General features: G+C 38.3%; 1 protein-coding gene across 10 annotated transcripts in view, besides 3 other annotated features; it reads right to left on the reverse strand.

Moving 5' to 3' along the window:
- Positions 1–27,341, reverse strand: part of TBC1D4 (TBC1 domain family member 4) — a 198,667-nt gene that overhangs the window by 63,698 nt on the left and 107,628 nt on the right. For all 10 annotated transcript variants that reach the window (XM_047430811.1, XM_047430810.1, XM_011535331.3 and 7 more), the window contains exons 2-5: positions 14,826–15,407; positions 12,569–12,658; positions 8,947–9,051; positions 1,970–2,102 (exon numbers count right to left, since the gene is read on the reverse strand). In XM_047430811.1, coding sequence (XP_047286767.1) covers positions 1,970–2,102; positions 8,947–9,051; positions 12,569–12,658; positions 14,826–15,407 — 910 coding nt within the window. The remainder of the gene's footprint in view (positions 1–1,969; positions 2,103–8,946; positions 9,052–12,568; positions 12,659–14,825; positions 15,408–27,341) is intronic.
- Positions 2,453–2,747: a silencer, noted in NCBI's record as "tiled region #11619; HepG2 Repressive DNase matched - State 16:ElonW". NCBI's record gives its function as "represses a minimal TATA promoter and a strong SV40 promoter by Sharpr-MPRA in HepG2 cells {active_cell/tissue: HepG2}" and the evidence as "EXISTENCE:reporter gene assay evidence [ECO:0000049][PMID:27701403]".
- Positions 14,550–15,070: an enhancer, noted in NCBI's record as "H3K27ac-H3K4me1 hESC enhancer chr13:75935886-75936406 (GRCh37/hg19 assembly coordinates)". NCBI's record gives its function as "activates a minimal SCP1, AML or CMV promoter by ChIP-STARR-seq in primed H9 embryonic stem cells {active_cell/tissue: H9 hESC(primed)}" and the evidence as "EXISTENCE:reporter gene assay evidence [ECO:0000049][PMID:30033119]".
- Positions 18,508–18,777: an enhancer, noted in NCBI's record as "active region_7823". NCBI's record gives its function as "activates an Ori minimal core promoter by ATAC-STARR-seq in GM12878 lymphoblastoid cells {active_cell/tissue: GM12878}" and the evidence as "EXISTENCE:reporter gene assay evidence [ECO:0000049][PMID:35858748]".

Below are 27,341 nucleotides of genomic sequence, written 5' to 3' on the forward strand. Positions count from 1 at the left end.
TGAGTATCTTATTGTTGTTTCCATTTTCATTTCTCTGACATCCAGTAAGGTTCAGCATCCTTACATTTCCATTCTTGGAACTTTTAATTTCCTTTTCTGAGAAGTATTTTTCAATATGACTTACACAATTTCCTACTGCGTGGTTTTATCTTTTTCTTATAGGTTAAAGTTCTTACAAATTCTGGATTCCAATCTGCTATCTCCTTGTTTGTTACTGATCATATAACTCCTAAACAGTTACTGCTATGTAAACACTTTAAATTTTCATAAAATCAAATATGTCAGTGTCTTCTTCTGATTGTTCTTGCATTTCTGTGTCTTAATAAATCTCTCTTCAAGAAATAAGAATACTCTTCTTGTTTTCTTTTAATGGTTTTAATATTTTGTTTGTTTACACTGAGGACTTTGATCCATCTAGCATGTATTACTAAGCAGGATGAATATAAGCAATCTTTGCCCTTTTGGGATGGCTAATTGATCCAACACTATCTCCTGAGTGACTGGCACCCGTTGACACACAGATTTACATGCTTCCTTTATCACACAGCTAAGAATGTTCCATTTTTTTAAATGCTTTATGTGTTTGAAAATAATGTACATTCTGCAATATTACAATTATAATTGTTTAAGCCTATTACATTGAAATAGTCTTTGGCTGGGCACAGTGGCTCATGCCTGTAATCTCAGCACTTTGGGAGGCCAGGACAGGAGGATTGCTTGAGACCAAGAGTTTGATACCAGGCTGACCAACATAGTGAGACCCCATCTCTACAAAAAATTTTTTAAAAAAATTAGCTGGGTGTGGTGGCACACACCTGTTGTCCCAATTACTTGGAAGGCTGAGGCAGGAGGATTGCTTGAAGCTGGTAGGTAGAGGCTGCAGTGAGTCATAATCACATCACTGAAATCCAGCCTGGGCAACAGAGCAAGGCTGTGCCTCAAAACAAACAAACAACAAAAAAAAAACCTGTGTTTGATCACATAGTTGTGTAAACATTCAACGAATACTGTTATTCATCACTGATTCTGCCTTGTGCCTATGATTCTGCTGCCTACTGAACAGAAATCATGATTTGCATTTCCAGTGTCTAGACCAATCTCTGCTATGTTTATTAATAATTTGCACTCTTCCCATCTATTATAACACCTATCATAATGAATTACATTTAATTGCTAATACACCTGTCTCCCACTCTAGACTGTAAGCTTCTTGGGATTAGTCCATGTCTCAATCATTTCTGTATCCCCCAGTGCCTAGCACATTGCCTGGTCCAGAGTAGACATTTCACTAGTGTTTATTAAATTGTGTTTTTTGTCTTGTATAGTAGTTTTCAAGCTTTTTTGTGTTGTTGTTAGTAAGAGATAAACGAAAAGGAAGTTGAGTCACAGGATCATCTCTTTCTCATGGCCTTCACTCCTTCTCAGAACATATTAAAAAAAACTGCTTTATATTATCACCTCTATTATCTCTGTCATTGACAAATGTCCTTCAAAAGCCAAGCAGGCTTCACTAAAGTTCTACATTTTTAGAAAAGGAACTCATCATCAAGTAAAGGAGAAAAGGGGAAATATTAAATAAACACTTGACATTCTGTGATGGTTTTGTCTCTCTTCATTCATTCAACAAATATTTGGTCAGTTCCCACCATGTACTTAGCAGAGTCTTAAAAACTGTGGGAAATACAAATACCTTCTTGAGTTTGCCTTCAGAAATGAGAGAGAGAGAGAGGAGAGAGAGTAGAGAGAGAGAGAGAGTGTGTGTGTGTGTGTGTGTGTGTGTGTGTGTGTGTGTGTGTCAAGCACCTAGCAGAGATTGACAGCCCACTCACATTTGAGTGGACATGAGAAATGATTCTTTGGGTTCTTGTTTCACATCGAAACAAAGAACTATTCAATGACAATAGGGACTTTCTCATTTCCCAAATGCCAAAGCAAACTTCTCTTTTGCCAAAGCCACATTAAACTGTACCTTCAATCCTTTCACAGAGCTTATGCAAAGAGTGCATCGGGCAGGCCTCACACAGTTTAATCTGCGTCTTGGCACTCTGCAGGGCAGCCGCCGTACTGAAGGCCTGTTTCAGAGTCAGCATTACCTCATCAACCTACAGGAAGAAACAAAACTCAGGTCTATAAAAGTTGGCTTACATGGCAACATTCAACATTCAACAGCAATGTGAGCCTTTGTTGATGCTGACTAAATAAAAATAATAGAATTTTGATGACTAGAGAGTTAGCCGAGAGAAAATACTAAGTCTTGGAGTTAGACGTTTCATACATATAATTGAAAGCTGGATGAAGTAAGATTATTTCAATGTGTGTAATATAATACCGCTCTGTTAATTTAAATTTAATGCTATTTTCAAATTGCATTGAGGGCTATGCCGTCACAGAGAGTTTAATTAGTTAATCCTTCTGTTTAATTATATGCTTTATCAGATAAAGATCCTTTTGGAAGTTTTGTCTGCCACTTATATGAAACAACAAAATAGGTCCAACATTCACTTTGTTAATAGGTATCCTATTTACTTTTCTGGATTACTTTTAGTGTAAAAGCAAACAAAAAGTGTTAAGTAAAGTTCTGGATAAAAATGAGTTCCATTTAAACAATGGTGGGGAAAGTCTGTGACTAATGCTGGCTTATCCCTGTAACTTCTGATTTATTAATATTATCATTCCACTTCTGATTTGTGACACTAAGAAGGTCTTACATAGAGGCATCTAACAGCTGAGTCTCACCATTAGGCCAGCAGCTTGCAAACTACCAGTTAACTTCTTTTTTGTTCCTCCATGACCCAGTCAAAAAGTTTTAATCTAGCCTTTTTATTTCCTGGATGCTTCTTTGAAACCAACTAACAGCTCATCCCCATGCATTGTTAAACCAATTTTAGGTTGTATCTCCTTTTCTGGAAACAATCACAAATGTAAAGTGTAATTTTCCTACATTCTGTAGGACTTAGATCAAATTATGAAACCTGCATAACAGAGACATTGAGCACTAAGGGCCTCATCCGAACTAGCTTTGATATTCCAAACCATTTACCATGCTTGGTAAGCACATTTTTATATTCTTTTCCCCTTCCCCTATGGCCTGATTTAAGAATAAATTATTATTTAAAGAATGTAATCTACTTCTACATTTCAGTATATGAGGAAACTGAAATAAACAGACTATTCTTCTACTATTTCTGAAAGAAGAGATCAAACACCAAGCAGTCAGTCATTATTCAGTTACGTTTTGTTATATCAGCAACCTTAAGGCTTATGAATTTCTTATCATTCCATTAATAAAAGTAATTTTTGATAAAATGTTATTTTATACTATAAGCAAAAACTAATAATTTCTAATTCTTGAAAATAAAAGCACTACATGTTTAATACCTTTGCATTTTTATTTCATTTGCCTTGTTAACGCATTCAAAAGCTATTTGTGCAGATGTTCCTTTATTTATTCTTTCTTGTTTCTTATTTATTTTAAACACTGAAGGGGTTAGCAATCTACTAGTAATATAAATGATTTCCATATAAGTTATTCATCATTTAATAATACCGCCTTGTAAAAGGTATCTAGTAGAAATAATGAACTTTTGATGTTTTTGCTATTTCTGGGTCATGGTGTCTGAAATGTGGCTACCAACTTCTCCTGTACACAAATATTACTAAAAACTTACTTGACTTCTAAAATTATAAATACTTTATTTTCTAAAATCTACCACTTTTCCCAAATGACCTATAAATTCTATTATGAGATCAGTGCAACTAAAAGTTCAAATTAGTGTACCGTGAATAACTTAATTATTTTAGTCTAGATACAACTGCAACAAAGTTATAGGTCATGTCAAAAGGTTAAAAGCAAAGGAATGGGCAAAGATAAATCAATCATACACCAACAGAAAGAAAGTACCTATTTTTGGCACTACCACTGGGCAAATTAAATTTCCAGCAAAAAACATAAGATAGGACAAAGCCCAATTTACAAAATTAGAAGGAAAATCTATAATGCAGACGATGCTCATAAACATTTACACTATATATCAAACTTACATATTTTATAGCATTTGAGAATAAGTCTAAGAATCACAGGATGTGAAGGACTTCAAATATTATCTAGTCTAATTCTCTGAAAAAAATTTAAATTTTTAAATTATCCAATAAAGAATGGCATCAATCCTATTTTTTTGGGGGGGTATATATATACTTATTGTAAAAATCTTTTTTTTTAATTTTATTATTATTATACTTTTAAGTTTTAGGGTACATGTGCACAACGTGCAGGTTAGTTACATATGTATACATGCGCCATGTTGGTGTGCTGCACCCATTAACTCGTCATTTAGCATTAGGTATATCTCCTAAGGCTATCCTTCCCCCCTCCCCCCACCCCACAATAGTCCCCGGTGTGTGATGTTCCCCTTCCTGTGTCCATGTGTTCTCATTGTTCAATTCCCACCTATGAGTGAGAACATGCGGTGTTTGGTTTTTTTGTCCTTGCAACAGTTTGCTGAGAATGATGGTTTCCAGTTTCATCCATGTCCCTAACATGAACTCATCATTTTTTATGGCTGCATAGTATTCCATGGTGTATATGTGCCACATTTTCTTAATCTAATCTACCGTTGTTGGACATTTAGGTTGGTTCCAAGTCTTTGGCATCAATCCTATTTTAACAATTCTTAACAACCAGGTCTACTTCAATGGCTAATTAACCACCCATGTATTGAAGTGTTCTCCATATTTGTTAGATTTTAAGCCCATTTATCACATTTTATCGCATTTTATACTACGTGTAAATTCTCACATGACAGCTCATATGTCTGAAGCTAAGACCTATACTTCTTGTCCCTAGGCTGAATGATGCCAATTATGTCCATTTTTCTTAGATGAGAAACTTTCACAGAGTACTGCTCTTTTCTGAAACATCTGCAACTTTTCCTCATGATTTAAACATGCAGATTGGAAACCTCACCCTGTCTCTTTACCTGCTATCTTCCCACTTTGCTTGATCCTTAATTGTTACAGATGTAAATTTACAAATATACTCAATATCAGATGTAAGAGAAAGATAACTTCCCAGATTTTGTATCTCATCCCTCTATCAATATGCTAATATTTCATTTCTAATGAAATACCATGCTTATTTCATTAACTATTAACCCCATACAAATTCTGGGTCTTGGGCAGCTGGGTCTTTTTCTTTTTTTTTCCTTTTGGTTATACTTTCCCTAAATATTTTGGTCTGCATCTGTGGAGTTTACTTTTTCTTCATTTGTAAGTAGCAGTCCACCTGTACTTTTTTCAAACTCTTTAAACCTATTTTAGAGAAAGCACTTTTGAAGAAATAATATTTTCTACAAATCTCAAGGGTTGGTTAAACAAGATGAAGCTGCTCACCAACAACTATTTTAAGAAAGAAAGAAAGAAAAGAGAGGGAGAAGGAAAGAAGGGAGAAGGTTGGGAGAGACAAAGACAGGAGAAAAGGAAGAATTGATCATCTAAATTTCCAGCAAAGCCCTCCAGGCCCGTCAGAACACTATACTGTTTACAAATTCATAGCAATTATTACAAAGAAGCAAAAGAAAATGTTAATTGTGTATTCTTGGTACTCAGAGAAGATAAATCAGCAGGTGTGGTGTTGCAATACATTGTGTTACACAAACCACATCACTCCTAACACTGCTTAGACTGATAATATTTAATTGACTGTTTTGTTTTGGTCTATGTATCAGCTGCTTAAGCCATCCTCTATTATGAAGGAAATTTACGTTTAATTTTTTTCTTGAGGCTTGCAGTTCTATTGCCTCACTATTCAGTTAAGATGCTTACCAATAAAATTAAACATGGTTTGAGAGATCCTAGCATAGGCCTGTTCTTAAGAATAATTATGCCAAACCTCGGATTCTGACACAGCTTCAAGTAGTAGGAAGGCATTCACAGCCAGTCAAGTCTGTTGCCTTAGTCACAGATCATGCTAGGTGGAAAAATGCAGCATGTTCCCAGACTTTCTACTGTGATTCCCTGTTTCCAAAACTCATTCTACATGCATGAGGGCAAAATGAAAACTAAAAACAAAACAAAACCTGTAAAAAAGATTAGAAGTAACAAAGTTTTACATCATTTTCCTTTTAGTGCAAGTTCTCCAGTGATCACAGATGAACCAGCACCTAGAAAATGATTGCCTGAAGTTCAGAGTAATGCAGTCATTCAATCACTCAAAATACAAAAGTACCAAGCACCTGCTATCCTAGAACCTCCATGACACAACACGTAAAAGAGACAGTCCAAAATCTGTGAAACTCACAATCTAGTAGAGTAGGTGGTTATGCAACAATAAGTGAGTGTGGGGATTGGCAAGAACTGTTTGAGACCTAGGAATAAAGTATAGTAAGAGAACTAACAATAGCACAACTAAAGGAGGCAATTCCTGCAAAAAAGGGGGTCAAGAAAGGCTTCGGTAGGATGTGATATGTAAGCTGGGTCCTGAAAAATATGCAGTAGAAAAGAAGCGGAAGGGTACTCAGACTATAGTAGGGCAGAGCCAGGCCTGCTTCACTTCCAAAATTAAAAGCAGTAAAAAAAAGAGATAACTAAAGCATTGCACACTCTCCTTGCTTAGTAACAGGCAGATTCTTGAGGCTGACATGGCTTCCTTCCCAGCCGGACAGTATGAAAGGCAGCAAGCCCTGGTTCTGGCATCCTCTCACATGGCACACTCCTCACTCCATGCAGTGAATGGGGACCTCTGAGTTTCAGCTGTACTACTGTGAGCCACAGTGGGCCTTCAGAGAGCTGCAGCCTCTCACTCAAGTCCTTAGGTCCCAGGAACTAACCAACACGTGTGGGTTTCAGTAGCAAGCCAAACTAAAAGCAGTATCACACCAACCATCGAAGCAGTCTTTGTGGTCTGACCCAGAGAAGAGCTTGTAAGACGAACGACATATGTGAAGAAGGTCATGAAAGGGCATAGTATTCCGGTCTAAGTGCAGAATAACATCAGATGAGGCTAGAGAATGAAGTGAGCCCCACTGTGTGCTACACAATATAGATTTTGTCCCTTAACAGTGAGGCATACACCAGGTTCCAAGGAGGAAATTTTGTGAGAAATAAAACTCTAACATAATGTAGAAAATGAAGAGATGGCAGATTAAGCCAGTGGCAGGACGACTAGTTAGGACATTAACACAAGGGCCCAAGTAAAGAAGATGAATGCCTAGAATCGGGTAGCAAAGAGGAAATGGGGGAGAAATGGAGAAAAGAGACATTCTTATCTTTCAGTCAATAGGATTTGATGAACAACTGCACATAAAATGTGAAAGAGATACATTAGCATTTGTAAGTAGAGAAGTTAGGTAAATGGTGCTTCCAAAATAAAACATATGGGGTATATGATAGTTTTTAGAAAGGTAGCAGAGTGGGGGGATCCAGAACATGACAGAAGGATCAGTCCTAGAGTAGAGGAGGGACACAGAGAAGGAGTGAGGTGTGGGCGTGTAGGGGATGGGTGGGGAGCGGGGCATGTGTGGAATAACATCCTAGGATACCACTTTCTACCAAACTGTTACTTGGTTGGCATTTTCTAGTGTTAGGTCATCGGTTTTCTTTGGCTTTCTTTCTCTTTCTTCCCCCGGGTGTTTATCCAACCTGCCTTTCACTGTCATTTACACAAGGACAATCTCAAATTTCTATCTCAAGTCCTAAATGCAACCCATTTAGCAACAGCCTCTGGATATCAACATGTGGATATTGCATAGGTGTGGTTATTTAGAGGGAGAACAAAACTCAAATGGAACCCTCTAGAATAGGAAAGTGTTAGTGATGGGAGTTTTCTATCTTTTAGAGAAAAAGATGAAGGCCAGAGGCTGCTGGTCACAAAGTGCCTTTGAACAAATTCACTCCTACTTCTTCATTATTCCTAACCTCAGTGTCCACACTGGGAATGTGGAAGGCGAGAGTCGGGCAGGGATAATTGTGATATTCACCAAGGGCACAAGGGCAATGCTGCCTGACTGATTTCTATATGACGAAGTTGTATGTGTTTCCCTGGGAGAAATCCTGGTGGGAGGATCACATGTCTAAGAAAATAATTTTCTGTAAACTTTTCTAAGAATGGTGATGTATATGTCTAAAGGGTTGTGTTAAAATGACATGGGAAGATGGCATAGGTGCAAGAATGAGTAAAAACTTTGAGGGGAAAAAAATCAACTTATTTCTTAGCCGCTCAGATATATGTCCAAGCCTGCCTTACATATGAACTCCAATTACCTTGAACTCTGCAATACAAAATTGATGGGAATATATCTTTTAATCAGCAATATGGAAAGCAACATCAGTTCTCTGCTTTCACAGCTCTACGAATCTCTCCTTCACAGCAATGAAGGGGGGACATAATGCCTTGAACTCCAATTACCTTTAGTTGAGAGTAGGAGAGGGGTAGTATTAAAGAGAATTGACTTTTAAATGCCAAAGAAGAAAATTAAGGTTAAAGTAAGACCACAAAGTATATGATATTTCAAAAATGAAGAAGGGGCTAATAAAATAAAAGAAGAAAACCAAAATAGCTCTCTGTTCTGCTGATATAAGCATTATCTACTCTGCAATGTTATAGCAGTTAAGAAAATAAAAGATCAATGGCCTTCCTTATCTTCTCATATGAGCAATGAAAAAAGTAACAGCTTTTCTCCTATTATTAGTCTTTTCCTGCCTTTTAAAAAGCTCAAGTTTCCATGACTGGGTTTATTAAACCCACAAAAGTATGTAGGCATATATTTTACCATGACAATTTGTTTTTGCTTTTCTACTGCTGTGCTGCTTTGAAGGGGAGGAACATATTTCTAGACGCCTTCTTCTTTTCCCATAGATAGCCATATTGCAAGGCTTGGGCTCCTAAGAGACAAGTCTTCTGTTCGACAGATGTGTCCGCAGGAGCAGGCAGACAGCAATAACACTACTTACCAGAGATTCGCTGGCACACTGGAATACATAACAAATATACTGGCTAAGTCCAGGCTCTGGAGACTCCCGGCAGATAAAGCCAAAGTGATCCACATGCTTTATACCCTAGATGGAGGGGAAGAAGTGCAATAAAAATGTATGGGAATATATATTTTTTACTCAACAATATGGAAAGCAACATCAGTTCTTTGCTTTCACAGTTCTACGAATTTCTCCTTCACAGCAATGAAGGGGGGACATAATGCCATAGCAAACTCATGCAGTGGCCTGTTGATACATAAAATAAAAGGTGAGACCAACTCAGACTGTTTTGCTTCTGATAAACATTCTGCGACTCAAGGCCACAGGAGGAAAAACATTGATGGTATGATCCACTGTGTCTTGTAATAAAATGCTACTCCATGTCTGCAAGTAACGGAGTTTTCAGTTTACTGTCTTCTTGGCACGGCAGTCTGATATTCATCATAAACCCTGTTCTTATCTGAGGCTAAGAATCTGAGAAAAACTAATACTGACAATACTCAAATTAACTGGTATGGAATTCCCTAAAGTATGCATAGAATTATTGGAATGTTTGTCTCTTTATAGACACTCAAGCAGCCACACTTAAAAGACTGATATGTTATAGAAATTATTGCAGGTGCCAATTATCCACAGTGACAAATCATTGTACTTCCTGGACCCAGGCTAAATAACCTCCCTATATCCCATTAAAAAAAATCAGAATCATCTGTGATTTTCATTCAGTCTGAATGTATACATACTGGTAAGTAGACAACACCTTAATAGCAAGCACAGTACTTAGATAAGCCAGGTAGGCAAAAAATTTAAAGTTGTCCCCAAATCACCTAAATCCAAGTGAAAAGGAAAAACATGCTTTGAAGTCAGATTTGTGCTGAAATCTTCATTCAACTAATTGTGAGATATGTGATATTGCGCTGGGTTGCTCATAACTATCTCTGAGCATCCATTTCTCATTATAAAACAGTAGTAATAGCATCTACTGTCAGGAATGTTTGGATTTAGAACTAAGAAATATAATTCCTAGGATGTTTGATAAATGGTTGCCCCTATTTTGTTATAATAAGCTCTATCCAATGGAAATAGAAAAAGGAAATCAATTCCTGTAAAAAGAAAAAGTCAGTACAGAGGAGAGAGGCTGCAATTCTTGAGGTGAAAGTAAGCAATCCGTATGGATATGACATCCACACAGATTAAATTTGCACGGTGACTACCAGCCCCCCATATGACCTTTAGATACACAACCTCGATTTTCATCTTTCCATCCTCATCTGCTTTCCTCTGGCTTTCTCTCCTATAACATTCCCTTCTCACCTCCCCAACTCCAGCCACACTGGCCTCAATTTGGTACAACTTGTTAGTGACTTAAGAATACCCTTTACTTGCTTAGCACTAAATGGGAAAAATTCACAGGACCTCATTAGCTCGGAGAGTCCTGAGGCAATGGCAATGTTTCCAGGAAAGAAAACCATTCCCGTAGTCCCCATGCTTGCCAGGCAAACAGTCCGACAGATTTTGAAGAAAGAAGCATTTGGGATGTGCACTGTTAAAAATCAGGCTGTTCCTGAAAACAGCCACATTATATGCGTTCAGTTCCATGGAAGGATGTAATAAGAGCAGAGCCAGCCACTCAGTGAGGAGCAGATGGCTAACCTGACAATTACCTCAATGAAAGGCAGGGCTTTCCACAAATCTCCCTCCTGCTTCTGTTTATTTCTTTTTCTGAACCAGAATATCAGAATGCAAATCTTGACTTTAAAAAAATACAAAGGAGAAACAAGAAATTGTATCTGAACTTCCAATTTTTGGTTTGGCTAGTTCTTTTTTCTTTCTATTTTTTTTTCTTTTAGCTGCCCAATGAGCATTGCGAGTTTTCTCACCAGGAGGCTTGAGGAGTGTGGGGTGGGAGGCACAGCTTTTGAGGATGCCCCCTGGTGCTCTGGGATAGGAACTGCTTCGGTTCAGACATCACTTTCTCTTCAGTATTTGGCATAAGGCCCACCATGTGTAAAGTGCTCATTCATTCAACATGTATTGAACACCTCAGGGTTAAGCTCTGTCTTAGTACATCTGACTCTGATGTGCTACAGAATGACACCACAGCCTTAGACACCTGCCCTCACAGCACTTACGATCTCCCAGGGACAACCAGTAAATTGGTAATTACAAGAATGCTTAATAAATACTTTTCAGTTAAAATTTCTGTGTCCTTTAAGTAGGAATGTAGAAATTTACAATATATTTCTCCTTATTTCAACTGCTGACAAAGTTATCAGAGTAGAAAATTTTTATCTACACAATGTAATTTTATGTCTCCATATAATATAAAGTATATTAAAATATCAGAAGTGAACTGTATTAGCTGAGACTGAGGCAAACAATTAAGGTGTACAAAAACTGGCCAGCATGGTGGCTCATGCTTGTTAATCCCAGCACTTTGGGAGGCCAAAGCAGGAAGATCTTGAGGCCAGGAGTTCAAGACTAGCCTGGGCAACATAATGAGACCTCGTCTCTACAAAAAATTCAAGAAAATAAAAAAAATAACAAGTACCCAGGCATGGTGGCACATGCCTGTGGTCCCAGCTACTGGAGAGGCTAAGGTGGGAGGATTGCTTGAGCCGGAAAGGTCAAGGCTGTAATGAGCCATGATCACGCCACTGCAATCCAGCCTGGATGACAGAGGAAGACCCTGTCTCCAAAAATAAATAAATAAATAAATAAAAGTACAAAAACTGTCTTGTTAACTTCAAAGGGAAGAATGTCTGAATATCATACCTATAGCAATGCTAACTTCAAATTATCTTTAAAAAGATAGTAACTAAAGAAAACAAGATAGGCCGGCGTGGCTTTTCAACATTAAAATATATGGACCTTGGCAAGATCCAGCTCCTTGAAGGTAAGTTAAGTCACCAGGCAGAAAAGAAGTGAATTCTCAATTCCAGGAACCTCCTTAGAGGTGCATTTTTTAACCTCCCTACATTTACATTTAGATACTCCTTCTATCTGACATCTTCAAAAGTTCTTTTTAATCTTGTAATCTCTTCAATGTCTAATATAATCTTGTACATAATTGGCTGTATTATTTTAAAAAACATTTAAATACACAGTTTGTGAATTAAAAACAAATAAAAGAACAAAAATACAAAAATATTTTCAAAGTTTAGTATTTACATTAAAATAAGCTGAAACCCTCGTTCTCCTTTTACTACCTACTACGGTATAAAGAGCAAGCATGACTCAGTTATACCCACAAGTCCCACAGGCCAACATTCCAAGGAACTAACTGTGAAGGTATTTTCAAAAGAACTCACCACCACAAAAATTCCATCACTGGAAGGGATTTGATGGTATTACAATGAGAAAGAGTTGGCTAAAATGAGGACAAACTGTTAGGATAGATACCAAGGGACCTGGGCAGGATTTTGGTGCTGCCATAGACAAAAACCCAGGAGCCCTTAGTTTAAGACAAATTCCCTTTAAGAATAAAAATTTAAATTTCAAAAAAAATTAAAATTTGAAGGGGGTCAAGCCCACTTATTTTATTGTTAATTCTGAAACAAGATTGGTCTCTTCACATACTATGATATACTTTGATACATACCTGAGAACAAGAGGAGATATCTTTAAAATTCTTTTCTAGCACAACTGATTTAGTGTCTGGACTGATAAGGTTAATCTCAAATCGCCCAACCTTAAAAATAAAAGCATTCCAATTAATTTCAATTCATAAGGATCTAACATCTTACTTTATAACCAAATATTAAACTAATAATATAGATTCAAATGCAATATCCCAGATATATGTATTTCATATGTGCTTAAACATCTAATCCAACCAATATTTTTAACCCCAAATATCAGCTGCCTCAAAAATGTTTCTTTCCTCTGTCAAAAAACGTATGAAAATTAAGTTAGTCTTCAATTATTATAAGATACAAATATTTTTCAGATTAGAAACAACTGTCTTTTTAAAAAATATGCAAACTTTCCTCACTTCATGATTTCTAAAAATAGTAATTTTAAAAAATAAGTTATAATCATACTTTCTTCTAAATGGTCAGCAAAAGGATGTATCTGTAATTGGGCTAATGAATTAAAATCTTTGAAAATAACCCATTCAGAAAAATTAACAACAAGGACTGTGACTAACTAAAAAAAGAACAAATCTGATAACCCCAAGAAAAGGGGAAATTCAGTTAATACATCACCAAAGACTAGAGAGGCTTTAATGACATACCTTGAGTTCATTAAAAACAAAACCACCACCAACAAAAAAGAAAAAATATGAACTTCCAGGGGTCAAGGCTGTAGTGAGCTGTGATCACACTGCTGCACTCCAGCCTGGATGACAGAGCGAGACCCTGTCTCTTAATTTTTTTTTTTTAATCAGGGGTGTGTTTTTTTTTAATCAAGTAGTAATATATTCAATGCTACTTCTTGCCATCATTTTCAATTGTTGAAATGGGCATACTGAGCTCAGAAAGCAAATCTGATGCCTTCATGATATGGAGCCACATTTGTGTTCTGTGTGGGATTACTTCTGCAGGAGAACATCACATTTTCTCCTTAAGGCAAAATGTTTGTAAGTGTTGCCTCTTTACTCTGAATTTACTTTTGAAGCTGTACTTGTTCACCTACGAGTGTTTATGAAATCCTGCATTTGGGATGCTTTTTCTATAATAAAATATTATCATTTGTGAAAAAAAGCCTCATGAACTTCCGATAAAGCAAACTTCTGATATTACACACCGGTACTATTTACCAAAATACTCCGGAATCTCCTTCTTAGGAAATCTTTAAAATAGGTTTAAAAAAGACAGTCACTCTTTTCTTTCCCCCCAAGGAAACTCAAATCTCACAAGCTGAGAATTAAAGACTCTCTACAGAGTATTGTTAGGAATTAAGTTATTTTAAGCGGAACCTGACACCTTCTATACCCTGTACAACATTCAAAAATGTTTAGAATTAAGAATGATCTTTTATACCAATACTACAGCTTGCATCAAATTATTTTAGTATCCAATTCAGTACATTTTTAGGCCAATGATGTTTCTTTAACGTCTTTTGGTGTGACAGCATAAATTGGTGTGTCCTCGACTCAAAATACAAATACAAGTCTCTGGAGTTTTTTCTTCTCTAGAAAAAAAGTCCCTTGTTTCTCCATGCCAAATCGCACTCTCTCAGATTCATATCTTTAAAGATTTACTTTCTACAATTTTTTTGTTGTTGTTGAGATGGAGTCTCGCTCTGTCGCCCAGGCTCGAGTGCAGGGGGTCAATCTCAGCTCACTACAACCTCCGACTCCCCAGTTCAAGCAATTCTCCCGCCTCAGCACCTGATTAGCTGGGATTACAGGCACGCCCCCACCACATCCGGCTAATTTTTGTTTTTTAATAGAGACGGGGTTTTGCCATGTTGGCCAGGCTGATCTGGAACTCCTGACCTCAAGTAATCCGCGTACCTTGGCCTCCCAAGGTGCCGGAATTACAGGCGTGAGCCCCCGCGCCGGGCCTACAATTTTTTTTTAAGCATTTATTTGAGAATCACCCCAAGGCAAATGCTGGTTATAGATTCTTATTCTCTCTACCAGGTGTCCAGGACGTTCTACGAATTGCTTCCTCCTCCTCTTCCTTCCCTACTCCCTTAATTCTTATACTCCACACTCCACGTCTGCCTCTCCCCCCTTCCCTACTTTCCTCTGCACTCTTCCTCCACCTGCCTTATCTGCTTTGAAGGGGAAAACAAATAAAAGTTAGATTATTCGTTATATAGAGGTGGAGCTGGGAGGAACTGGATGCCCAGCTACTTCCATCTGGCACCTTTTGGGGCAAGGGCAGACAGCGTCCGATCAGGTGTACCTGGAAGAGCATGGTCCTGTTCTTCTCCGAGTCCGAGGGCTGGACGTGACTGGGTGCGCTCGCGTGTCTCCGTCGCGGCTGGGATTTCTGGCTGCCCTCGTGAACTCTCCGTTGCACGCCGGTGACACTGCTGCACCGAGACCGAAACTCCTGCTGCTCATCAAAGCCAGAATCTTCCAAAATCCGCTCAGGGAAGCAGACCCGAGAGCTGGTCAGGGCAGGCTGGCTGGCCCCGGCAGGTAAGCCAAGGTGGGTGTCGGTGCCGTCAGCCTCCTCCGGCAGGCAGTCTCCGGGGGACCCGGGCACCACCACCTCCAAGTCAGCCAGGTCCTCTCCTGGGTCCGGACCGCGCTGCTCCCCTTGGATCTTCAGGCGCTGCTGTTCGTGCAGGCTGAACTTCTCCATGCAGTCATCGATGAGGCTTGAGGGGGCCTTCTTGTGGGTCACGGTCACCTTTCCACAGTACAGGACTTCGAACTTCTGAGAGTTGTAAAAGGCGTCCTCATTATCTTTGCTGGGTTTGGCATCCTCTTTCATGGCCGCTTTAGATAATTGCCTTATGCTGCTAATAACATCAGGAACCTGGGGGAAAAAATTAAAACCCTGATTCTAGTTGAAAGTTTTGAGACAATTTACATTTACCTAGCCCAATTATTACCACATGGAATGTATTTTCATCCTAAATAATATACAAAGTAATAGACACTACACGAGACAGAGCATACACTTACATTATTTGACATAAATGACTTCAAGATAAAATTAAAATGTAATGAAAATTGAAATTGAATAGCAGGATTATATTTTCCCACTTTAAATGAGTCTCCCAGAAACAAAACCATGAAACTATATAAGCCACTGCCAACCTATTATGTCATAATATGTCTTTTGATTGTGTTTAAAAGTTATTTGTGCCTCAGCTGAAAGGAACCAAAGTTCCAACCATGAGGACAAAATAACCTTTTTTGATGAGGAGATTAAAACCTAGACATCCCTCATCAGCATTAACTATCAGAGAAAATGCAAATTAAAACCACAATAAGATACCACTATATACCTCTTAGAATGGCTAAGATAAAAAGAAGACTGCCAGCAAGGACATGGGAGCAACTGAACTCTCATACATTGTACACAGACATATAAAATGACACACCACTCTAGAGGATGGTTTGGCAGTTTCTTAGGAGTTAAATATAGACCTACTTCATTACCTAGGCATTCCACTCCTAAAAATTAAAAGACTGGAAAACATGTCCACACAAGAGCCTACAAACAAATATTCAAAGGCACTTTTGTCCCAATACCCTGTGAAAGGAAAATATCTTAGGCCCCCAAAATCACTAAGGAAAACTCAAGCTGAAAATTGCTTAGGGCAAACCTACCTCCTATCTATTCAAAGTCACCCCTCTGCTCACTGAGATAGATGCATATCTGATTGCCTCCTTTGGAAAGGTTAATCAGAAACTCAAAAGAATGTAACCATAGCACCTGTTTATGACCTAAAAACTCCCTCCCTGCTTTGAGTCTTCCTGCCTTTGCTTCAAATTGTCCCGCCTTTCCAGACGGATCCAAGGTACTTCTTACATATATTGACTGATGTCTCATGTCTGCCTGAAGTGTATAAAACCAAGCTGTGCCCTAACCACCCTGGGGACATGTCATCAGGACTTCCTGGGGCTGTGTCACAGGTGCGCATCCTCAACCTTGGCAAAATACACTTTCTAAATTAACTGAGACCTGTCTCAGATTTTCTGGTTCACAACTCTAAAACTGAGAACAATCCAAACGTCCATCAGCAAGTGAAGAGATAAATAAAATGTGGTACATTCTATAAACCAAAAAGTATCTGAGACAGGTCTCAATCAGTTTAAAAGTTTATTTTGCCAAGGTTAAGGGCATGACCATGACACAGCCTCAGGAGGTTCTGAGAACATGTGCCCAAGGTGGTTGGGCTACAGCTTGGTTTTCTACATGTTAGGGAGACATGAGACATCAATCAGTATATGTAAGATGTACATTGGTTCGATCCACAAAGGTGGGAGAACTCAAAGGGGCAGGGTGGGGAGTGTGCATGGTGGGGGCGGTGCAGTTCCAGATCGTAGGTGGATTCAAAGATTTCCTGATTGGCAATTGGTTCCTAGAGTTTATCTCCTACTAAATTCCCTTCTACTCAGCTCCAGCCACAATGGCCTCCTTGCTATTTCTCCAACATACAAGGCACATTCCTCCCACAAGGTCTCTGAGTTCAGAGATGTTAACAGTTTATTGCCACATCCATTTAATATTTTCGGACCACAGATGACCACAGGTGACTGAAACTGTGGATAAGGAGGGGCTGTTGTAATTATTTGGGATATACTGCTAGAACATTCATAGTTTACAAATAACAAGAATTTCCGCTTGCTAGACCAAGTATTTCCTATGAAAGGATAAAATCCACATGCTATAGCTTCAGTGACTCACCCTGAACACTTGCCATGTCTCAGGGACAAAGTCAGGTATCTGTGCTAACATGTGACTAGCAACCTCAACCCTTCATCATTTTCTTACTGCCTTAGTATGTGATTTACCTTACCTGGCAAGGGCCAAAGCTATGGAGAGTGAGCTAGCTGACACTCAACCGTGCAAACCTGCAAAAAATAAAATGATTCTAGTGGGCAAAGCCCTAGGAGAATGATCTCTTCTTTCTCTCTACTTTTCATCTGATTACTAAATATTTTTAATCTGATTTTTAACCCAAAATCTTTTTGTCTGATTTCCACTAAATACTTTTCATCTAATTTTTAACCCAAGTATGCCTCCAAAAGTGTCTCTACAGAGTACGGAATCAGAAATATAGCCTGTAGCACTGATTTTACTGCAGATATTTTATCTTGTTACAAATATTTAAATGATTTACATACAACCTCAGAGTTCCATTCTACAATTGAGATTGCACATAAAGTCAATTCAACCTTAATTGTGTCAAGTCTTTTGAATTTCTCTACCGCCATATCAAGAGTTTTTACATGAAAAACTGATTTGTGGCTGAATTTCTGTAGTCTCCCAGGATCCTTCCCTGTGACTACAGGTAAAAACTCAACACCTAAATGTAATTCTGTAAGTGATCCAATTTATATAAGCAAAGTTTATCATCTTGAATTCTAAACTGAGTACATAATTTAATCTTTAATAATTTAAGATGCTAATATTACAACACAAAACTGGTTCTAGTTACCTTTACTACCTTTTCTCAGGTTATGACTAACCACAACTTGAATGACATGGGTTGCAGAGACTCTGCAAAACTAATCTAACAACAGCTCTGTTTTTTTTTTTTTTGCTTATCCTCATGTGAAACACAGAGTATAAACACTAGCATTATACAGCCCCTGACTACTCACTTAGGCCACACCAGAAGGGGCACACTGCTCATATAAGCACAGTAAAATATCCATAGCGGGGAAATGAGTGATCAGAGAATCATGAAAATCTTGTATTGAAGCATTTACTTAAGGGATTCATCAGAAACAATGCAAGAGAAATAAAATTTCTATCAAGTACTTGTACATACATACAATATTTTGGAATCATAGGATTCTCCTGTAGCATAGTGTTAACTGACATATATTTATACATACATTTACAAATATTGTTGAACGAATTTGAATCCTTCTTATATGTGTTGTATCTTTTCAATATCTCTTTCTCCTGTACCATCGTACCATAAGCTCTTAAGTGAAAGACTGAGTTGGGGGGATTTTGTTGCTTACTAGAATTCCTCCCTGTGGCCACTAGGAAAATGGTCTGGGCTCAGAAGAACTTGAATGAATGCTGACAGCAAACAGAGTCATATATATAGGAGTGAAAAACTACCTAGAACTCTGATATAAATTCTTCAGGACTGAGACAGTTTAGTAAATTCCCGTTGGTGACTCAAGAGATCTGTCACACCCAAAAATAGAAAGCAGTGGCTTCTCACTCTGCTCACCATTCACCCAAACTAGGAAGTGACGGTATGTTTCCAGAATGACTCTAAATGTTATAGAGCACCTCAAGCTACACACCCTAGCTACATATTGTAGCTACAAATAATTCCGCTGCTCAGAATCTGCCTACAACCCACAGAGCCTAATGACGATTTACACACACCAATTTAAGGCAAGATTTCTACTCAGTGGCAGCATTTAATCTATTAACACAAAACAATGATACTGAAAGAGGCTCAACCAAACTAGGGACTGACAGGTTTATATTCTATCCCCAATATTTTGCTCAAGACCTCTGGGAATAGTTGTTGCACCTCTGCCAGATAACTTCCTCAAGAGCAAAGTGAATGGGGGAACTTGATAGATGGTTGATAAGGTCTCATCGAGATCCACATTCTGTGAGTTAATTTTTGGATTAATGCCAATATAAAGGCAGGATAATGTACAATCAAGAGAGGGAAAAATCACCTTTATGATTAAACCTGAAGTAGTGTGCAAGTTGTTAAAATGATCCATTTCCATTAACACACAGGAATCAATTCAACAGAAATAAGGGTCTCATTATATTTAGAAAAAGCACAGTGCCACCTTTAGCTAGTATTTTGTTGTTACACCTTCAGTGACCTCACTAAAACAATTTAGAATCAAGTACCAAGACTCAGACATTAAAGCAATTCCTCACTCTAGACAAAAAAAAAAAAATATTGCTTCTAGATTCCTTGATGTCATGCTGTTCTTTCTCATTAATTGGTTATCATAGTTACTTAACATACTTCAAAAAACCCATTAACATTTTATAAACTACATTTTACCTGATTTCAAAATAAAACAAATTCTACAACTACCAAACACTGATGTTCAAAGACCTGAACAAACACAGGAGAAAATCTGGAGAGTGAAAAAGCACTAAGGAAAGATACCTTTGATCAGGAAGCCAGCTGGAAACTGGAGGTGGTCACGAAGAGCAATGATTTTGCCAAACTGGTGTAGTCCTCAGTATTAGCTCTAAGTTCTCTCTTTCTAAATAAGCTGGCGGTATTTTCATTGTATTTATTAAAGTCCACGTTATCACTATGCAGCCAATTATAAAACTTCCCAGGAGTAACCATTATTGCTTCAAAAGTTAAGTATTTCCTGACTCTGCAATCAGGAAATACACAGATTGTTTGGGACTAAAGAGCAAAGCTTTAGCTTTCTTTAAAAAGAAACATTTTAATTTTGATGACTGTAGTCTTTATTATACTGTTTAAATAATCACAAGTGTCCCATGCTTACTAATTATGGATATAAGAGAAGATTAATCTACAGTACAATGTCTTTTTTATTCACACGGTTCACTGATAACAGATGAACTTCAATAAATGTTTAAAAATAGATATGACGGATATCAGCGTGAGAATAAGCTTCCTAAAACATATTTAAACAAAAAAGAACTGTATCAATTATTTTACAATTGATATAAGCTTCACTGCTTGATATTATTAATCTTTTATAATAACTATAGTAGGCAGAGCAAGATTTAGAGAAGTGTAAAAAAAAAAAAAGTTGAGGAAAAACATTAGGGAACAAGTAAACTGAAAAACTGCCTAATGAGAAAGAATAGCAATTTAAACTAGTCTCACTCAAACAGAGACAGTATGGAAAAGAAATATATTTGGTTTGGAAGTAATGCGTGGCTTTAGGGGAAGGGTAGATTTCCTTTATAATTAATTCTGCTTGTTTAAGAAACCATTAAGATTAGTTTACAGACTATCCAGGCAACACGGGGATGATGTTGAAAGCGTAATGGTATGAAGTAAAATGCAGCATTTTGAGAAACGATTGATTTGGTCATTTAATGTTATAATTTTTAATTGAGCTTTTTAAAACTTCATCTTCATATAATGGAAAATGCTGGGAAGATATATAGATGCCAAGTATCAGTTCATTTGTATTCAAGGAAACACTAATCATTCCTAGCCATTTTTCCAGCTCCAGTAGCCTTAGAAGCACACCGAGTTCGTGCTATGGTTTTTAGGGTGAAGCTGTTTGACAATCTCATTTTAACTTTTATCCTAAAATACTTCAGAGTTTCTTTGTATTTAGTTAAAAATCTAAATTATTCTTTAAAGCAAATTTTCCAAAGTAAAATAGAAGTCTAAAACTGAGTCTAGATTCAAAATAGAATAGAGTAATACACTGATTTGAAAATGATAGAACTGTAAAACTGTAAAACTAAGGGTCTCCTTAAGGAATCACCGGTCCCCACTGTCTTATTTTACAGATGTGGCAATAAACTGTTAACATCAAAAGTCAAACCACTGAAGAGGAAAAGAACGAGATTACAAGAGACTACACTATTGGGGCCAAAGAAAGCAAGAGTATCTCTGTGACTTAAACCAGAGTCATACAAGTAGCTTTGTTTTTGATCCTCGGGCTATGAGCCAAGACAGTTTCCTCTCAGACCAGGCTTTAGTTCTTAGATATTCTTGGCAACTTTGCTCCAAACCCATTTATGGTTCAGCTCTTTTCTAACTGCTGCCTTTTTGATGGCCTCTAAGTTAGGCCAAATTGTCAGAGAAACATTTCTTAAACCATTCTACTAAGTTCTCTCCTCTCATGCTGTCTCACTGCTTCTCCAGTTGAATTCCTTCTGTAAAAGGTACGACTTGTGCCTTCTTATCCTATGACTGTTACAAATGTGTAAAAGTGATCAGATAGAAAATATAAAAGAGTAACTCACAGGAAAAAATCTGGGGAATCATGATTTGATAAAGAGAATGAGGCCGGGCGTAGTGGGTCACACCTGTAATCCCAGCACTTTGGGAGGCTGAGGCGAGGTAGGTGGATCACTTGAGGTCAGGAATTCAGGACCAGCCTGGCCAATACAGCAAAACCCCATCTCTATTAAAAACACAAAAATTAGCCAGGCATGGTGGTGTGCACCTGTAATCCCAGCTACTCCTGAGGCTGAGGCAGGAGAACCGCTTGAGCCTGGGAGGCAGAGGTTGCAGTGAGCAGAGATTGCACCACTGCACTCCAGCCTGAGCAACAGAGTGAGACTCTGTCTCAAAAAAAAAAGAGAGAAAAAAAGAGAGAGAGAATAAAATCTCCCCAAAAGTGGCTGAGTTTAGTGCTGGTGTAACAAGACAGAAGATGGCATGCTTGGGAAGAAGTCATATGACAAAGGAGCAGGCAAGAACCGTCACTTTCCAATTCCCTTTCAAAACCAAAGTCAGGTGGGGTGTGTTGGCTCACACCTATAATCCCAGTACTTTGTGGAGGCCAAGGCAGGAGAACTGCTTGAAACCAGGAGTTCAAGACCAGCCTGGGAAACATAGGGAGACTCCGTCTCTACAAAAAATTTAAACCAGGAAGGAGTTGTGGCACATGCCTGTAGCCCCAGCTAGTTAGGAAGTTGAGGTGGGAGGATCACTTGAGCCTGGGAGGTCGAGGCTGCAGTGAACAGTGATCACATCATGCCACTGCATTATATAGCCTGGGTGACAGAGTGAGACCCTGTCTCACACACACACACACACACACACACACAATCAAAATTATTATTTTTAAAAGGAAGCAGTCCATAGCTTCACATATTAGAAAGGTACACATCATGCTGTTAAAGGGTTTCTACTTAAAGCCTGGGTCCAGTATCTATGTTTATCTACAGAAAAGATATGATACCCCCTAGGTCTCAGGTTTTTCATATGCAAAATGGAAATCACAATGTTTATCTGAAAGGCAACCTAAGAAAAATGAATTAGATGTGAAAATATGCCTGACACAGTGCTGCGACAATGAAAGCATTTAATAACATTTAAACCAAAATATAATTCCAATGTGTGCTACATAAGAAGATGAAATAAGTGAGAAGCTATGGCTAAATCAAATTGCCTGCCTTCATGAAATTTAAATTGAGGTGGCGAGATAGGGAAGAAAAAATTAACAAGAGAAGTAAAATATAAGGGATTTTAGTGAACATTTCCAAGGAGAAAAATAATGCAGGGAAGGCAGAAATTTGGAAAGACATAAAATTTTGAGGAAAACCATTGCAATTTTAGGGAAAGGACTCTCTATAAGATGATATATGAGTAGACATCTGAAGTCAGCAAGGTCATGAGCAATATAAATATCAGAGGGAGGAATGTTCTGGGCAGACAGAACATCAAGTACTAAGGCCCTGAAGCACAAATTTTCCTGGTATGTTCAGGGAACTGTGAGGAACCAGCATGGCTGGATGGGAGTGAGTGAGCACGCGATTATGGGGGAGGCAGTTGTGGGAGACGTGGGAGATCTAAATCCTGCAGGGGCTTGAAAGGATTTTGGCTTCTACTCTTGGTGAGATAGAAAGCCCCTGGTACAGTGCAGTGCTCAGTGTGGAAATGACATGATCTAAGTTGCTTTCAAAAGAACCCTTTGGCTACTGTGTGGAATATGGACAAGGGTAATGGGCAGGTGTCTACTGCACTCATCCAGGGTGAGCCATTGGTAGCTCACACAGAAGCGACAGCAAGGGAGGTGGTTAGGCAGCTGCCAGCTTCTGGATATAATTGTAAAGGTACAGACATGATGATATGTTGATGAATCCAATGTGAGGTCCAGGAGAAGGAGAGCAGGCAAGGATGACATCACGGTTTAGGGCCACAGGAATTAGAAAAAATGGAGCGACAATAGGACAGACTGCAGGTGGGTGATGGCTTAAGAGATCAGGAGCCGCGTTTTGGACACATTAATTTTGAGAAGCTTATAGACATTCAAGAGGAGATGTCAGTAGGCAGTTGATTATATGAGTCTGGAGCTCCAGGGACAGATCAGGGCTGAGACAGAAAATTGGAAGTTATTAGCATCTAGATGGTATTTAAAGCCATGAGATTAGATGAGTTCATCAAGAGTATAGAAGACAGAGAGAGAAAGACAGAGACAGAGACATAGACAGCTAGGCAGAAACACAGAGGGGGTTATCTCCAGGATCTAGCCCTGAAGCCACAGTGCTTACAGTTTGAAAGAGGGAGAAATATGAATGAAAGAAAATACAGCAAGAGCCAGGTGTAAAACCAGGAGAGAATGGCATCCTGAAGTCAAGTAAGAAAGGTTTCCAAAAGAAAAGAGTAATCAACACGAGATCACAGGTGACTTTGACAAGAAAAAATGGTGGGAGCTAAGGACAAAAGCCTTAATGGAGTAGGTTCAAAAGAAATTTCAAGAACGAAATTCAAAGCAATAGGAACAGACAACCTATAAGGGCAGCAGTAGGAGAAACAAGTGAGTCAAGACAGGGTTCTCTCTTGGAAGAAATGACAGCTTCCAATAGAGAATACATAATGGTGAAGGGGAAATCAATGATTTCAAGAAACAGGGCAGAATTGCTGGAGCAATCTCCTTAAGTAGGCAAGAGGGGACAGAATCTAGGCCCAAGGAAGAGGTTGAACTGAACTGGCAGTTTGAAAGGGAAAGGCAGAATAGAAAGGCACAGGTGCAGGCAGATGGGTGATGGGAGTTTATAGCATTTCTCCTCTGCTTTAATTTTCTCTGTAAAATAGCAAGCTTGCTCATTAGCTAAGATGAGGATGGGGAAGAAGATCTAACAGAATATTAAGCATCAACATAAAATTTAATTCTGGGCTGTTTGTGGGCTAAGTTGTGAGGTGAAGACATCTTTAGGATCCTCAAGCTTCCTGTGTTCTCTGGATTGCTAAATGTGACCCCTACATGGCATCAAGTATTTTAGGTAAAACTCAGGAATCAGCCACTAATTAGAAGAGCGGTTTGCCCCTGTAAAATGAACCCATGTAGGTAAAACTGTTTTCTCTGCCATTAGGAGAAACTGGGAGCTCTCCTATAAAAGTAATATTTATATAAGGAATAAAGTTTGAAAAAAGTTTGCATGTAGTTATGCAAAAATACTCTATTGTGTACCTTCTCAAAATAAGAATAACATACTTTGATTTTAAAATATTTGTGTCACTTATGAAAAATAACCTTATGTTTCTTTCCTTAGATATGGATATTTCTATGGGCATGATTTCTAAAATGGCGAAATTAGAAACAAAGTTATCAAAACAAGAAAGTAAAGCATCTCATAAACATGTAATCAAGAAAGTTAATGTTCCATTTTCTATATGGAACATTTCTATATGGAAAAATAAAGAACGTTCTTTATTTTCGAGATCCATGTTTTCAAATACAGCACATCCCTCTACCCAACTGCAAAGCATTTTCAATGTGAGATCAGCCTACTATCTATTTATTCAACCAGATGCTCTTTATTTATAAAATTAGTCCTATTATTTAAGGCTCACTTTTTTTTTTTTGAGACCAAGTCTCTCTCTGTCACCCAGGCTCAAGTGCAGTGGCACGATCTCAGCTCACTGCAGGCCTCCACCTAACAGGTTCAAGTGATTCTCCTGCCTCAGCCTCCTGAGTAGCTGGAATTACAGGCGCCCACCAGGATGCCCGGCTAATTTTTGTATTTTTAGTAGAAACAGAGTTTCATCATGTTGGCCAGGCTGGTCTCAAACTCCTGACCTCAAGTGATCTGCCTGCCTCAGCCTCCCAAAGTGCTGGGATTATAGGCGTGAGCCTCCAAGCCTGGCCCTAAGGCTCATTTTTTGAAAAACATAGTTCAACACCACTTGTACTTGCTCCAAGAAACACTAGAGGGAGCTTTCCCACATAGACTAGTTTAAACCAAAAAAAAATTTTTTTAAAGGTTCTCACAATACTGAGAAAAAAATGCTCCCACTGTTTATAAAATATTATTACTACTGCTCTCATCTTAGGCCCATAAAAAGTAAATTAACTAGAATTTTAGCTGATTAGACAAGTTTGGCAATAAAATTAATAAGTTAATAAAATAAAGTTAGACTGAAAAAATTTGAATACAGCAAAATCAGGACTTGATGACATTTAATTTGCTAGAGAGTTTAAAGCAGGACACAATAAACATAATAGGAAACATACGTCTTGGTCCTTCATCATGAAATAGGAAGTATAAAGTAATCTAAACAAAATCCTAAAACTGAATATTTAATAGGTAGTTTTAACTTATGAAATGTCTGAATTCATGAGAAGAGAAGGTTTTAAGCAAGGCTTAATTGTGCAATGAAGTGGGCCTTGGAAAAGGAGGCAAAGGAGCGACGGCTCAGCCCAGAGGGATCTGGACATGACAAACTCTAGCTGAGATCAGTAGATAAAGCTGTAATATTATCAGGAAACAAAAAACGCCACACATTTCTCAGAAACCTATTTTTGTCCTGTCCTTCCACATTACTTCAGATATTTATACCATCATAACAGATTATTCACCTTGCAGATGAAAATAATATGACATTCTTGAGCTTTTATTCAAAGACTTCAGGTCCTTATAAACATTATCATTAACTGCTAAAGGGGCGTATACCTCCCTTCTTCAAAGAAGAAAAATCCTAACCGCAGGCCATCCGGGGATAAAAATGAAAACACACATTCACCTCTCTCCAAAATTAGGCTAGAAGGAAAGGCAATAGCAAGCAACCGGATGCTAATCTCTGACCCGGACTTGCACTTTTTGTGGGTGAAGGAAAGGCACTAGTCTCCCCACATAGTAACCATTCATATTGGAGCTCTAAATGCACAACCTCCAACCCTCACAGTAGAGGTCAACTCCTCCAAACAATGCGGGTCCTCATGGAGCGTGCCTGCTGTGGCTGCTCCTGGGGAATGAAAAATTAATCCTATGACATCTTGCAGCAAGACTGCCTTTCTGGCCCTCGTTCCTTCTTCCTGTCTGGGACTCTAGTGAACATCATCTACGAAAGGTTCTGATCAGAAAAGGCATTTTCAGAGCTGACACTGGCTGTTGAAAGGTATGCTTCTTTGTTCATTAAATATCAAACGCTCCCTTCCCTCCCCTTCTCTTGCATGGGCTGGCAAAACGATACCAAGAGAAAGTGTATGATGGTTTACGTGACCCAAACAACAAAACTTTCTTTTCATCTTTGATTGCAGAAAAGAATAAAAAGCTTGAGACTTTCAGCATCCTGGAGAAAGAATATGCTTCATCTACGCACCTCACACATATCTGACTTGAAATCAGATTAATAAATATAATACTTCCACAAGCAATACACCTCTATTTTTGAAGTCTCTGAAACATCACCATATTGCTTGAAAGCCACCTGGAAGCAGGAGCTGTGTCATGACTAGCTTTTGCCCAGCCCACGCCAGGCCCTGCCCACTCTGAATGCATGCCCTGTGGACGGAGATGTCCTCTCTCCCTCCACAGAACTCAATCCGATGACACCATGACCTTTCAATTAATTTACCGCCCATCACTTGTTAATATTTCAAGTACATTCTGGAAACTCAGTATCCCAAAGCCCTTTCAAAAGAATTTTTACTTCTCAAATTTTATGTATGTCAAACATACATAAAATTTTAACTCCTTAAATGTCAAATTTTAACTCCTTAGAGAAGCGCTCACCTTAGAATTTCAAGTAGAATTTGTGACACTAAAGTATTTTTCAGGGCATAATAGCCTTAATTCTTTAACATCCAAAACACCTCCTTAGGTCTACATTAAAAAGAT

This window comes from Homo sapiens, chromosome 13, assembly GCF_000001405.40.
Source record: "Homo sapiens chromosome 13, GRCh38.p14 Primary Assembly".
NCBI classification, from domain to species: Eukaryota; Metazoa; Chordata; class Mammalia; order Primates; family Hominidae; genus Homo; species Homo sapiens.